The sequence below is a fragment of the Homo sapiens genome, chromosome 8, assembly GCF_000001405.40.
Source record: "Homo sapiens chromosome 8, GRCh38.p14 Primary Assembly".
NCBI classification, from domain to species: Eukaryota; Metazoa; Chordata; class Mammalia; order Primates; family Hominidae; genus Homo; species Homo sapiens.
Genome location: NC_000008.11, coordinates 4884855 through 4900105, shown reverse-complemented (window position 1 = coordinate 4900105; position 15251 = coordinate 4884855). Strand labels below are relative to the sequence as shown.

The 15251-nt window shown below is 33.9% G+C and overlaps 1 protein-coding gene across 3 annotated transcripts in view; it reads left to right on the top strand.

The window, feature by feature from the left end:
* The window catches only part of CSMD1 (CUB and Sushi multiple domains 1), a 2059554-nt gene that overhangs the window by 94809 nt on the left and 1949494 nt on the right, over positions 1 to 15251 (top strand). The window lies entirely within an intron of this gene.

Sequence of the window (15251 nt, the reverse complement as noted above, 5' to 3'; positions counted from 1 at the left end):
TGGAAGGTGAGTCTGCAGTGGAAGCAGAAGGAACTACCAGAGATGGAGGAGGAAATGCAAAAACGTCGTATTTTGAGGAAGAGAGAAGAGAATAGATTAAAGCAACAGACATCCTACTTAGACTAAAAATAAGACCCATTTATTTAACAACTATTTCTTAAAGGCCTACTGTGAACAAGACTCTGGTGATGGGTAAACTCTAGGGACAGAGCAGCTGAAAGGCTTGTCCCCAGGTATGTCTGACACCAGAGAAAAAGCTATCTGCAAGACCTGCTTATTTGTTACACTGTGTGAGGCCCTCTATATTCTGTGCTTGTATCCTCTTGGAAGATGAAGTTATAGTGCATTCTAGCTTTTTCTTTTCCCACAAGAAAAAGGTCCAGTGAGATATGATTAGAAATTTTTAACTATACACATTTTAATGAGAGTTGTTCAAGACATGGTCATCTTATATTTTTGCAAAACTACAGACAAAACCCTATATGTTATGTAACCACAGGTAACTTCTAGAAGAAAAAATATTGACTTTCAGTGTCCAGATCACCATGACAAGAAAGAGTGATATAGATACGCTCATTTGCTTCTTATTTTGTGAGACAATGAGATCTAACATATTGGGATTTCTTCTCTTTAATTGACTATGGACATGCGTATCTACATTTAATTCTCAATTACCTAAAATACTTCCTGGGAGAAGTATGTTTATATCCTTCCAAATAATTCCTCAGTATATTTCATCTTTATTTTGAGTGGCTCACTTTTTGTTAGTGTATGCCACTTCAATTTTAAAGGTAAGAATTTATGTTATCAATAATGTTATGTTTTGCTTATAATGCATGGATGGCAATACCTTACAATTTCAACCAAAACTTCTCTGAAGTATTTGCTTCAAATGATGTTTCTTCCGATAGGACATATACCCACACATATAAATGCAGTTGAGAGAAAGGTTTTAGCTCAATTTGCCTATTGATACGTGTATAACCAAATTACCATTTCAGATTTATGTAACAGATCACACTTAAATCACAGGATAGGGCTACATTTTAAATGATCAAGCTGTCCCCAAAGGAGTCGATTGTGTTTAGCATAAAACTCTCACTTTTCTATTTTTAAGTAGATATCATTACCGTAATATTAAAAATAATTTTATAACTGTAATCTCAGAATAAAATTCATTATCTCTAAATCTAATCTTATTAAACGATAAATAATGTATCTAGCTGTTATGTTAAAACTTAGACAAATAAACCACACTGTCATTTCTGTCCTGCCACAACTTTTGATTAATAGAAAATATAAATATTTATTATGCAGTTTTCATTTCACTTCCCCCCGCTTCCAACGATGAACTAAATTTACATGAAAGTCAGAGAGGTTTTCAAGGACTATATAATAAAATCTATTCCATTTCGTTTTTCTCAGTCTTTCCTGTCTGTATAATTTGACAATTTTCATAAAAATTTTTCATAAAAAAAATTTCATTCCAGACACTGTCGTTATTAGCCATTCAAAGAACTAGGATATGATTTGTGAGCCATGCTCACCCTTGGATTTAAAAGAACAGAGGCATAAAGACCTGTTTTATTGTCCTTCTGTAATGGGAGTGAGCAGGCAAGCATTTGGATTTTGGTCGGCTCTCACTTACACTTTCTACACCCATGCGGTCCTTCTGTGACCATCACCCAGTCACTGTGTGGCCTGAATTGCTAGTACTTGACTGCAAAAAAATGGCAGGTGTGACACAGAAATTGCAACAAATAATTATAAATCTAATGGACCCTGTCAAAGATGACAGGTGTCTTGGAAAAATACAAAATGAACATTTTATTTTTGGCCTAAAACGGGCAAGTCATCTAAGCACCCCGATGCTCTCCGTTCATGTGTGCGTTTTAATCATTCCATTTGCAATATAGCAATGCACGCTGGGCATTCCTCCCTCAAATATCAGAAGGCAGAGGATATACACATATATATGGGCAATATTTATTTACTTATTCGTTTGCTTCATTTAACCAATAATCCATTTCTAAATATTTCCAACTAATAAAACCAAATTTTCTTTAATTTTCTTGTTTTATAAACTGAAGTCTGTTTTTCCAGTACAGAGCTAAAAGAAAGTAGCCCGGGATAATTTAAAACTAAGCATATTATAAAAATTAGACTTATGTTTAGAATCTAATGTCCCCACTTAACAAAGCCACGCCTTGCTCTGGTTTACGATGTAATGTAGAGACTACAAAATCTAGATTGCCTTTCTCTTCTTAGCATTATACAAAAACTTATTTAAGTCTCTGTCTCTTCTGTATCATCTACTGGCATATAACTTGAATTCTTAAAATAACATAATGCAGTAACAGTTGATGAGTAGAATTTATTCTTCAATACGCAGATAGAATGTATTTAAGTAATATGTAAAAAAAAGTTGTGCTGGCTTAAGATACTGTATAAATAATATCATATTATTGGACATTAACGTAATGACAAATAATGAGTTTTGAATTGTATTGGTCACTAAGAATTTATAAAACGGAGTAACAAATTGCAATCTATTAAACACTAGCACATAGTTTAATTTTGTCACCGAATAGGATATGAGAGGTTATAGCCAGGGTCTACAGCAACCCAAACCACTCCTTAAAGATATTCCCATCAGCAAGTGGAAAAGAGTCACTTGTTTTCTTGGTAAGTCATATTTGTTGTAACTTTTTTCCTGTTGAATGGATTGAATTGGTACCCCACTCGCCCATGGCCTATAGAAACAATATATATTGGCATACTTGGTAAAACTCTATTTTATTTTTTCCGTTTTTTTCTTACCTAAATGAACACTTAAATTTTTGGTTGATACGATGAAAGGATTTTGACACAGTAGAAACAAAACAGACGTGTTGTGAGTTTTATTCTACCTCCCCTGACATTGCACAGCTTCCTCTTCTGCACTCGGGAGATAATAACGTGCACCTGCCTTGCTCATAAATTCATTTAAATAAAATACCCAAAGTCAAGCCTGAAATTGTAGGCACTCAGGAAAGGCCGGTCATGATTTTACTCCTGAGTTTTAAAACATTGATAAAACTGTCATGGGAAAAGAGAAGTCAGTGTAAAAAACGAGACACATCACAAAAATGAAAGAAATGTAAATGGAGAGCCCTTCCTTGGGTTTGCCCAGGGAGACAGGCGGGTAGGAAGAATAAAGGAGCCCAAGATACTGTTACTTTTTCCTGCCTTGGACAGTGTTCCCGGCAGCTGCTGCAACCCTCCGTGGCTCCGGCTCTCACTGGATAGCCCTGCACTTCCCCCCGCCCTACCCCGCTGGAGCCCTGAAACTACCTCCTTCCCTTATTCCTTCAATCTTGCTTAGAATCGGAGGACTCCTCACCATCATCACAAGCTTGAAGTCTTGGATCTTCCAGCACGTATGCAATCCTTCCCCCGGAAAAAATTTCCAATATTTAAATACTTGCAGTGGTTTCTGTTTTTCCACTGGGACTCAGAATGGATAATTTATGAACATGGTTAAATATTAAATCAGTATGTGTAAGGTTAGGTGAAGGAAGTATCTGAAGACATGAAGCAAAGAGCAGAGAGAGTGACAACATAAGATAAAAATTTTAGAGACAGAGTTTCAGTTTGAGAGTTTCAACATTTTCCTGGTAGATGCTCCATAACAAAAGAATTGAGAAAACATCAGTAAATAATCGAAGCGAGTAAATAATTTTGAAAATGCAAAAGCAATGCTCCCTGTGTTAAGCTCAAATATGCAGATTAAAGTGTGAATTAAATATTGAAAAGCATGAATGTAAAGAGACCCATAATTAGCGATATGCTAGGGAAAAGCATATAGAGACGGACTGGATCAAGGTGACCTGCAAAGTTGAAAGAACCAGACTGACAAGACACTTCACAAAAGCCATGCTGAATATGAAAGACAAAGGAAACAATCTTTCAAATGTTTAAAAAAATATTTATGCTACTAAAAGTAGCATTGATTTCAGAAGGCAGAAAAAAATTTTCAGACAGAGGAAGGCCTCTAAATAGTGCAAACCACACATTGAACTACAAAGAATTGTAGAATCATTACAAATATCTCAATCAGAAAATGGTTAGGGGAGGATGGCAAGAATTTAAACATTGAAAATTAGGTCTGAAAATGGAGGGATGATGTCAAAAAAATAATTGGTAACAATTCTGAACCAAAATTCAACGTATTTACAACAGGGGAAGTAACAAAAGGCAAGTGAAAGGAAGATAAATAATATCGTGGTAAAGTTCTCAATATTTTAGGGGATTTAGGAGCAGCTGTACAGCTTATTGATTTTAAATTTACTTTGGTAAAGTTTAATATCTTTGGTTAATTACTAGAAAAATAGAGGCTTTGTAGGTTTGAAGACTGAGGAGAAAAAAAAAAATCAGGGAAGGTGAAGGTGGATAGCAATTTGGAAAAAGGAGCCTCATCAGACCAACCACAACATCAGAGTAGGAAAGTCATATCATAAAAAGAAGCCCCCGAATAACTATAATCAATACCTTTGAATCAGCAAAATTTCTTTATCAGTAAAAACACTCCTTGACTTTTAAAATTTGTATAAAAAGACTGTGAATTAAGAAAGAAAACATGTACTAGACAAATGCCAATGATAAAGCAGAATAACAATGTTGATATCACAGAAAATGAAATTTACTCAGGCTTTGCATGGGAAAAAGAGGGATGTGTTTGGTGCATCATACTGAGCTAAACATGCTGTTACACTTACATTACTCCAGAAACTGAAATATTGGAGAGAAACAAAGACAACTAAGTCATACGGACTTACCATTTTCATAATCGTAACACACCTGAGTCAGAAATTGTTCATCTCTGAACGTGATTCAGGTTGTCTTAGTTGTACATGGTTAGCTTAGTTTTTTGTTATTATTGAACCTTCTACAAATAGTTATTATTTTTTGTACAGAAGCGAATGTAAATCAAATGTATTTTTGAGTGAAAACTCTTTAATAACCAGTTCCTGAGAGTGAAACATATTTACTCATGTTTAATGTACAGAAACAAAACAGATATTCTTATCAATGAAAAAACTCAGGTCAAGAGAAGTGAAGTTACTTGCCGAAGGCAGTAGATCAGAAAAGTGGAAGCTGAGCCCTGAACCTCAGCCATTTGATTCCTGGCCTTATGTTTCAAAGTGTCCTTCCTTGAAAATGTGCATTTTTGGCAAGGATTCATGAACAATAACATATAAAGTCACACAGAGAACCTTAATAAAAATTCAAAAGCAAATTGGCACAGATCAAGTTGTCCGTTCATGAGGAAATAAAATTAAAAGTCAGAAGATTTTATACATGTGCACACAAACACACTTGGTCCCCCTCGGTCCTCCTCAGACACACACACACACACACACACACAGTCTTTCAGATAACTTGACTTAAATCAAGAATGAAACACATTAAAATCCCTTTGCAGATATTTGCAGATAAATGATAATGGGTGGATAGAATATTATTTCATTCACAATATTGCCAATGTAGCTTTTTTTTTTTTTTTTCTTTTTTGAGATGAGTTCTCGCTGTTGTCCCCAGGCTGGAATGCGATGGTGCGATCTCGGCTCACTGCAACCTCTGCCTCCCGGGTTCAAGTGATTCTCCTGCCTCAGCCTCCCAAGCAGCTCTTAAAGCAAAATACATAACCTGAAATGGGCAGAGAAAGAGTGAAAGAGAGAATATGAAAGTAAATTATCTAAGTGTTTTTAAGAATCTACAAGCAGTGAATTAGTAGAAAATTAAATAAAAAATGAAAAATGTATATAAATTCAATAAATTTGAAAAAGCAAAACAAAAGACTTGATAGGTAAAAGATCAAAGCTTATTCTTCAAATTCTGAAATAAATGGATGAAGTTTGGGCATATCTGATAAGACATATAGAAAGAGCTAATAACATAAAAACTGTTCACTGTTAAAATAGAGATAATTTTTCAAATGTATGGGATACAGTGCGCAGGCCTATATGAAGACTTTTGGTAAGCTAGTTAAAATTCATTATTCTCTAGGAAAATACAACTTAAACAAAATAAATCAAAGAGAAAATCCAAAGGTATCTATACATAACAGATGTTGAAATCCTTCTTGAAAATCTGTACCTAAAAAAAAGACAAAAAGCTTTACAACATTTAAACCAACATTTTGCGAAAAAGACATTGCCCCGCCCCCTTGGTTAAATAGATTTTTTTCTGTTTTTGGGGAAAAAAGGGGTAAGAACAACTGTATGCTACTCACCGTTCCAGATATCAACATATGCTAAAAAGACATTGGAATCTGAACAATGTGACATTGGCTCTGAAAGCAGCACATAGATTAATGAAACAAAGCAAGTAGTCCAGAAGAAGACTTTTATGTAAATGTGAGTTTAGACTATGGTACAGGTGACAGTTTGAACCAGTTAGGAAAAAGAAGTTCGGCTTCTCATAAAATGTATTGGCAAATTAGCATATCTTATTGCAGAAAATGTAATTTATGTAAATACATCACACATTTACAAAAGAATTGTCATCTGGGTTTGAGGAAAACATAAAATTATTATTCAAAGTGGGTAAATTAAAATGTGCATTTTTATAATACATTAATTGGGAAGCTCTTAAAGACAACAAATAAACCCTGAAGACATAAAGAAAAACATTTAACTACATCTTTGTGAATATAAACATTAAGAAAAAAAATTCTGTATTAATAAAAGCATGGTAAACAAAGTTAAAAAAGTGACAGAAAAATACTAAACAACATAAAATAATGGATTACTCTACAGAATATATAAGGAGCTTCTAGTTCAAGAAAAACATCAGTTAGAAACATTGGAAAAATATTAAGTAGGCAATTAAAAGAAGAAATTCAGATACCAATACAACTATTTTAGTGAGTTAATAAAGCTGATGAAAATCACAGAAAAGCAAATTAAAACAACAAAAAGGTATTATGTTTACCTGTCACACTGACAAAAACTAGAAAGAGAGATAATATCCAGTGACGAGCCCTGGAGGGGATAATCGACACAGCCCTCATTCCTGGAAGTCAGTTTGACATTGACCATGCAAATTACAAACACAGATGCAGTATCACACCGTGCAAGCGTATTCCTTGGAAATCTTTCACAATATGCTCATATTAATGCACCATGTGGCATATAAAATATATTCACTTCATTAATACTTTATAAAGCCAAAGGGAAAACAGTCTAATGCCTCTTAGTAAGAATATTGTTAAATAAATTAAGGTGTGTTTATACTATGGAGTAGCATACAGAAGTTCCCATCTACAAGGTAGATTTATACCCTATTATTATTATATAATACAAAGAATAAAAATGAGATGCAAATCAGAAAGCAAAAGTGTTAAAAGCAATATATCAGTAAATGTACAAAAAGACTATATGAATGCATAGAAAACATAAGTCTGAAGAAGAAAACACTCAAAAGTTAAGTGTTCACGTCTAAGGAAAGACTACTTTTACTTTTTTCTGTATATATTTCTGTATGATTTTTTAAATATAATTAGGCAATACCTAACGCTAGTACAAGTAATATTACCCTTATTAGCCCAGGTGTCTTTGCAAATATTTACTATATTTTTCAGTTAGTAAAACGTGATTAAAAGACATGAACCTATTTTTTTATAATCTCTATTTGCAGTAGAGGGACACAGGACGCAGGGCTGTAAGCTCAGGATTCTCAACTCCCCCTTGCTCTTGTTCACACCATTTTTCTTGCTGTGGAGATGGCTTCGTCACCTAAGTATCAACCATCTGAGTATGTGATTGACTTCCTTTTAAAATAAAGGGACACCTGGCTACCCAGGTGGTATTACCATTTTAGAAGAGCACTATTTTATTGGCAATGTATTTTAAGGCCTGAAAGAATCTTGAAAAGTTGTTTCAATTATGCCTTAATGAAACTACTTTGTTCAAATTGCAGGTGACAAATGGGAAAAAAAATTTCCCTGTGACAGAGAGGAAGAAAATAGCAAGTTCTATTTCTTCCTACCTCCCGCACCTTCTACTGACTCAGAATGTTTATTTCTACATCTGGTGGTGTTAGTGGTGCTCTCATTACAGTGTTTAAGAGCTATTTTGGTCTTACCTCTTTTGGAATTTATGTCTGTAAAGGCCATCTTCTTTTTTCTTTTATTGTTGATAACCTACCATCTGTTTGTTTGCTAAAATAGAATCTAATACAGTGAATGTCAACTTTTACAATCAATGGATAATACAAGGTGTATAGTCTACACAAATAATGTAAATGCATTTAATTAAGTTAGACTACATGGGTTGCTAAATAATTGCTTGACTGAAATAACTAGGGAGTTTTGGGAAATAATTAATTCAGTATTTTATTTGAAAACTCTTTAAAGTGGTTTTGTATGCATTAATATAAGCCCTTAGGATAAATACATAGTGTTTCCAATTTCAATAAATTTGGATTCAGCATCTTTCAGCAAAACATCCGATTATGTGCTTAAGACATTTCCTAAAAGAGATGAAAAATAAATTGCAAGATGCTAGGAATTTCAAGGCAAACTCCCTATAAAAATATTTTTAGTATAAAACACTATTGTCTAATTCTTTTAATTACAGACCTTTCAAATTAAGAAAAACATTGTAAACTTAAATTAGGTTCACACACAGTAGCATGTATCAGAGGAATGAAAGCTCAATGTACCAACCTGATCAAGGGTCAAGTTATTCAATGAATAAAATGCTCTCTAATTCACTTCAATAAACTTCAGTCTTTCAAGTAAGGTTACATTGTTAGCTTAGTGTCTTCACTTGTAAGAGTATTCTTGTTTTACCTAAGGATGTAGAGATAGGTACAATTATTTGCACATAGAATTTTACCTCTTCATAGTGAGATGTGACTGTCACATGTTTCACTTCCAGATGTATTTTCAGAAATCTCATTGACTCAAAACACAGAGTTCATACCGTGGCATCAGCCTCTGCTCTCAGGAAGGCTTTGCTAGTTCCAAAGCTGGAAAATGGCCCATTATTCTATTAACTATTAATTTGGGCATGTAATGAATGGAACCATTTCCACATATCTATTTATTTGGAGAGGTCTTGATTGAAAACATGTGTTCTTACTATGAAATCAAACACCACCAATACTTTCCCTTGGATTCTCTGCCTTTGCGTTTCCCCAGGTGCACCACTCCCTCCTTGTGAGCTCTAGGGGTTTGGCTGAAATCATGTTTCTTGTCACTCAATGTGATCTGTGACTAAAGCAAACACACATCTTAATGTCGACAAAAGCGTCCTTAACCGGAATGTATTAGGTCGGTGCAAAAGTGATTGCGCTTTCTTCCATGACTTTCAATTGCAAACACCGCAATTACTTTTGCAGCGACCTAATAACATGCAGAACAAAACCAAAGCAGGGGAGGGTGTCGGAGTCACACGCTCTCATCTGTCCTGCCCAGGATGCCCATGGCTGTGAGGACCTGAAGCAGGGGAGGGTGTCAGAGTCACGCTCTCACCTGTCCTGCCCAGGATGCCCATGACTGTGAGGACCTGAAGGAGAGGAGGGTGTCAGAGTCACGCTCTCACCTGTCCTGCCCAGGATACCCATGGCTGTGAGGACCTGAAGCAGAAGAGGGTGTCAGAGTCACGTTCTCACCTGTCCTGCGGGAGGGTGTCGGAGTCACGCTCTCACCTGTCTTGCCCAGGATGCCCATGGCTGTGAGGACCCGAGTGCCATCTCCCCTGTATGTGCCTTCCTACTCTAATCCATAGGAACCTGGAGGTTCTCTCTCCTTTTCAGCTTACTTCGTAGACATTTGCATTTCTCGTTTCTCACCAAATTCACTCCACTCTATCGTGCTGCTTCAGTCTTCTTCCAGCCTGAGCCAAGATCAAGTGTGTTTATGAGATATTGACTAAAATGACTAGAAATTATTTCTTTAAAACAAAATTAAGGGGAAAATGGGATTTTTCTAGAGGCCATCATAAAATAGTTTTCTTTCTTAGAACTAGTTTCTGACGTATAAACTGATTGAACATAGTTTTAGCACCTTTACCTTTCACCTCAAGAACCTCAGGAAATATTAATTATTAGGTAAGATACCTGAAGTCATATATTTCTGTTTCATAGTTGTGATGTAGTTGAAAGGTCATACATTCTGGCTGTAAAGAGGACCACATTCCAAAACTGGCTCTGTGAACTGGACAAATTGCTATACATTTTGATTCTCTGTTTCATCATCAATAAATACAAAGTAACTCCAGCAATTCTAGTGGCTGTGGTTTGCACATCAAGTTTCAACATAGTAGGCCCTCACTATTAGTGTTCTAGGAAGAATACATAAAATATAATGTGTCAAAAATAGCCAAGGACCTATTAAGGTAAATTTTCTTTGCTTTTAATTACCTTTACTTACTGTTTTTCTCTCCAGCTTTAAATAAAACCTTATATTTGCAGTCTCTTATGGCTACCAGTAACCTTAAGCCAGTCATTATGGTTTTTTTTCTATTTTTTTGACATTTCACACTTATAGACAGTTTAAAAATAACAAGAATTGTTGTCTACCTTTCATACAACTTCCTGTAATGATAAACATATCACAAGGATATAAGCAAGGAAAATAATGTTAATAAAAAATGGCCTCACCTACAAAGCTTATTCAAATTTTGGCTACTTTTCCCAGCCAGGATTCAGGCTTACTCACTGCATTTGGTGGTTTCTCAGTCTTCCTTATCTTTCAAGAGGTTGACACATTTGTAGAAAACTTGATTCATAAAATTCTCCTCAATTTGAGTTTCTCTAATGTTTCCTCATGATTCAATTTAGGCTATGGATTTTTGGCAATAATAGAACTAATTTTGTGTTTTCAGAGTCATTCCTACTGATACCAGCTTTGACACTTGGTTGGGGCATGTCTGTCAGTATTCTCCACCTTAAAGTAACTTGTTCTTTTTGTGATTAATGAAAATACTGTGAGTGATACTTTCGGACATTGCACATATTCCGTTTCTCATCAAACGTTCATTCACTGGGCTTACCACATATTCATCCTTCTTGCCTGAAACAATAAATGCCATCGTGTTTGCCAAATGGTGATTTTTCTATTTCCATCATTTCTTTGATGCTTGGAAATTGGAATTATATTGTAAGTAAAGATTTTCCCTTCTCCTCATTCATTAACTCATTTAATTATTAATTTGTGTGAATGTATGGGTTACAAATCTTTGCTATTATTTCACTCTCTTTGTTGCTGAAAATCTCCCAGATGCCTATTGGAAGTCTCTTCAAGTTGGCCTTTGTGACCTTTTGATATGTCCTGTGATTTTTGGAAATGTTCTTACTTTTTAGCCCTAACACATATCCCAGGCTTGGCCTGCACTTTCCCTGCACCGGCCATGGAATGAGTCATTACCTCAAGGACCCCTGGTTTCTTTTGTTGGCAAATGATATTTATGGTGAAGATCTGTTTACCAATTTGCTTTTTGGTGTTGGGATGTCACTGCCGTAGTCCTTCTTAGCAGATAGAGTTAGGGTACAGGGGTCCATAGACTCTCACATAAACACACACATACCTCTCTCTCTCTCTCTCTCTCTCTCATCTATCAGTCTATCCTTCTGTATGTGTGCTCACACACCTATACGTGCAAAACAATATATATGTATATCATATGTTGTGTGACAGTTTTGAATGAAAGAATGGGAAATAAGAAAATATACATATATCTCCTCATTTTTTAAAAAAGGAAATGTAAAAATAATAAATCAATAACTAATGATAATGGTTACCTCCAGGGGCTTGATGTGAGGAGAGGGTGTGTATTTAACAACATATCTTGAAAATTACTCCTTATCGATTCCTAAATATAGCTTTATTTTCTTTCTATTTTTTCTTTCTTTTATTATACTTCATGAATACAATATGGATGTACCAATGTATCAATTTATTCATATACTCTTTTATATATGGCATTTAGATTATTTCTAATATTTTATAATTAAGAGTGTACATATGTATTTTTACATTGTTGAAAGTTTATCTTCAGAGTAAATTCCTAGAAGTGGCATATATGGGTCAAAAAAGGAAGGGAAAGAGAGAGAGGCATGTAAGCCTATATTGTTAGACTGGATTTTAAAAATGAGATTTAACCATATATTGACTACATGAGACTCACTTTAGATAAAAAATACGTGTATGTTCAAGTAAAAGAATGAAAACTAACGCATTATGCAAATATCAGTCATGCAAAAGCTGGAGTGGCTGTACGAACACTGCTCAAAAAAGACTTTAAAACAAAAAGTGTCACTAGAAACGAAGTGAGACATTTAAAAAAAATGATAAAATTGTCAACTCATCAGGAAAATATAACAAATGTAAATATATATGCACCTACCAACAAAGCAAATAAAGCAAATAAATAAATAAATAAAGCAAATATAAATAAAGCAAAACCAGTAGAATTAATAAATATTGAAAATAAAGCAAAACCAATAGAATTAAAAAGCAGAAATAGATTAAAATAATGGTTGGTGACTTCAATATCCCACTTTCGTTAACAAATAAAAAACTATGTAAAAAATAACAAGGAACTAGAAGAATTGAATAGCATCATGAATTATCTACACGTAACAAAAACGTTTGTAAAAGTAGCCAAGTGAAAAAAATCTAATATACCTCGGTTCTCATTTGCAGATGAACTGTTGTCCATGATAACTGTATTTACGTCATAAAATAAGCCTTAATACATTTAAACGGATTGAAATCCTACAAAATATGTTCTTTAACACATTGTAATTGAGTTAAAAGCCTCTAGTAGAAACTAGGAAAAGTCTACATGTATGGAAATTAAACAGCATACAACTAAATAAATCATGAGGCAAAATAATCACAATGTAAATTATAAAATACTTTGCGGTAAAGGCATATAATGACTGAACATATCAGATCTTATGGAATGCAGGTAAAACTGGGCTTAGATGAATATTTATAGCTGTAAATGTTTATATATAAAAGAAGAAAAATCTCCAATTAATATCCTAAACTTCCACCTAGCACATTGGAAATGGATTATCAACATTAACACAAACCAAGCAAGAGGAAGGAAATATATAAGAGTTGAGCAGAAAATGATGAAATACAGAATAGAAAACACAGAAAATGAGTGAAATCAAAAGTTGGTTATGTAACATCGACTAAATATTTTTAAAAAGTCTTAAATAGACTTTCCAATTAAAGCAAAAAGAAAAGTTACTTAAATCTGAAATGACAGAAGAGATCATTTAACAATTTTACAGAAATAAAAATATTTTAAGAATAAATTTATGCCAACAAATCTGGTAAAATAAATTTTTTTAGAAGTCCTAGAAAGAAGACACCGAGTACCAAAAGTGACTCAAGAAGAAATAGAAAATCTGAATGAATCTGTGATATGTACTGTGATTACTTGGAAATAAAAATATCTACTCACAATGGAAACCCCAGGCATCACAGTTTTACTGCTGAATTATATGAAACAATTAAAGAAGACCTAATGTAAATATATCCACACTTTCAAAAAATAAAAGAGAAGGAAACACTTTCCAACTCATTTTACAAGGTCAGTAGAAATTTGATGCCAATAAACTAAAAAGACATCATAAAGAAATCCACAGACCAATATCTTTTATGAATATAGATGCAAATTTCCTCAACAAAACATTATCAAGAAAAATCCAGCATCATAATAATGTATTAAGGAATATACATTTATAATATACATAAAATAAAAAAATATATATAGTGCTGGAACAACTAGATATTCAAATGCAAAGTGACAAAGTTGAAGCTCAAAACGGATCAGAAATTCCAGCATTTTGAGAGGCCGAGGCAGTGGTTTGCTTGAGGTCAGGAGTTTGAGACCAGCCTGGCCAACATGGTGAAACCTGATCTTTACTAAAAATACAAAAATTAGCTGGGAGTCGTGGCATGTGCCTGTGGTCTCAGCTACTCAGGAGGCTGAGGCAGGAGGATCGTCTGAACCTGGGAGACGGAGGTTGCAGTGATCCAAGATTGCACCACTGCAGTCCAGCCTGGACAACAGAGGGAGACACTGTCTCAAATAAGTAAATAAATAAGTAAATAAGTAAATAAAAAGGATCAGAGACCTAAATGTAAGAGCTAAAATGATAAAATCCTTACAAAGAAAACACAGGCATAAATCTTTGTCAGCATGGAGAAAGCAGTGTTGATTTTTTTGTTTTGTTTTCAGATAAGAGCAAAAACACAAGCAACAAATAATACATATATAAATTGGATTTCCTCAGAACTCAAAACTTTGCACATGAAAGGAAACCATCAGGAAAGTGAAAATATTGTTTCATTTTTATTTACTATATATTATAATACATAAGTATATCTTTATTATATCTCTAATATTAAAAATAGTTTTATATTTAATGAAGAAAGAAAGGTTGATTCAACACCTGAAAATCTATTAATGTGATATACTATATCAACAGGATAAAGGACAAAAGCCACCTAATCATCTCAGTAATGCAGAAAAAGCATTTGACAAAATCCAACACCTCCTCATAATAAAATCAACAAACAAGAATTACAGTGGTGTTTCTCAACTTGATAAAGGACATTTATGAAAATTGCACATGTAAGATTATACTTAATGTTAAAAGACTAAACGCTTTCCCCCTAAGATCAGGAACAAGACATCGATGTGCCTTTTTGGTACTTCTGTTCAACATTGTGCTAGAGGTTTTAGAAAGCATATTAGGCAAGAAAATGAAAGACAAGGCATCCAGAATAATAAAAAAAAGAAGGAAAACTATCTCTCATTTCTGATGGTACACTCTTGGACATGGAAAATGCTAAGAAATTCGATTAAAAAACTATTATATCTAAAAATAAAATTTAGCAGGCTTGCAGGTTACCAGATAAAGTAGACAAATCAATTGTAATTCTATATACTTGAAATGAGACTCTGCAAATAAAATTAAGAATACCATTCCATTTACAGTAGCTTCTAAAAGAATGCAATAATACTTTTAACAAAGAAGTTCAAATTTATACTCTGAAAACAAAATATTGTTTAAAAGAATTAAAGAAGACCTAAATAAATAGGATGAAATACTGAATTTCTGTGTTGGGAGATTTCATATTGCTACAGCAATCTTCAGTTAAGCTGAAGCTTCAATGCAATACCTATATCTATGTTGCAAAAATTGATAAGCTGACCCTAAAATTTATGTTGAAATTC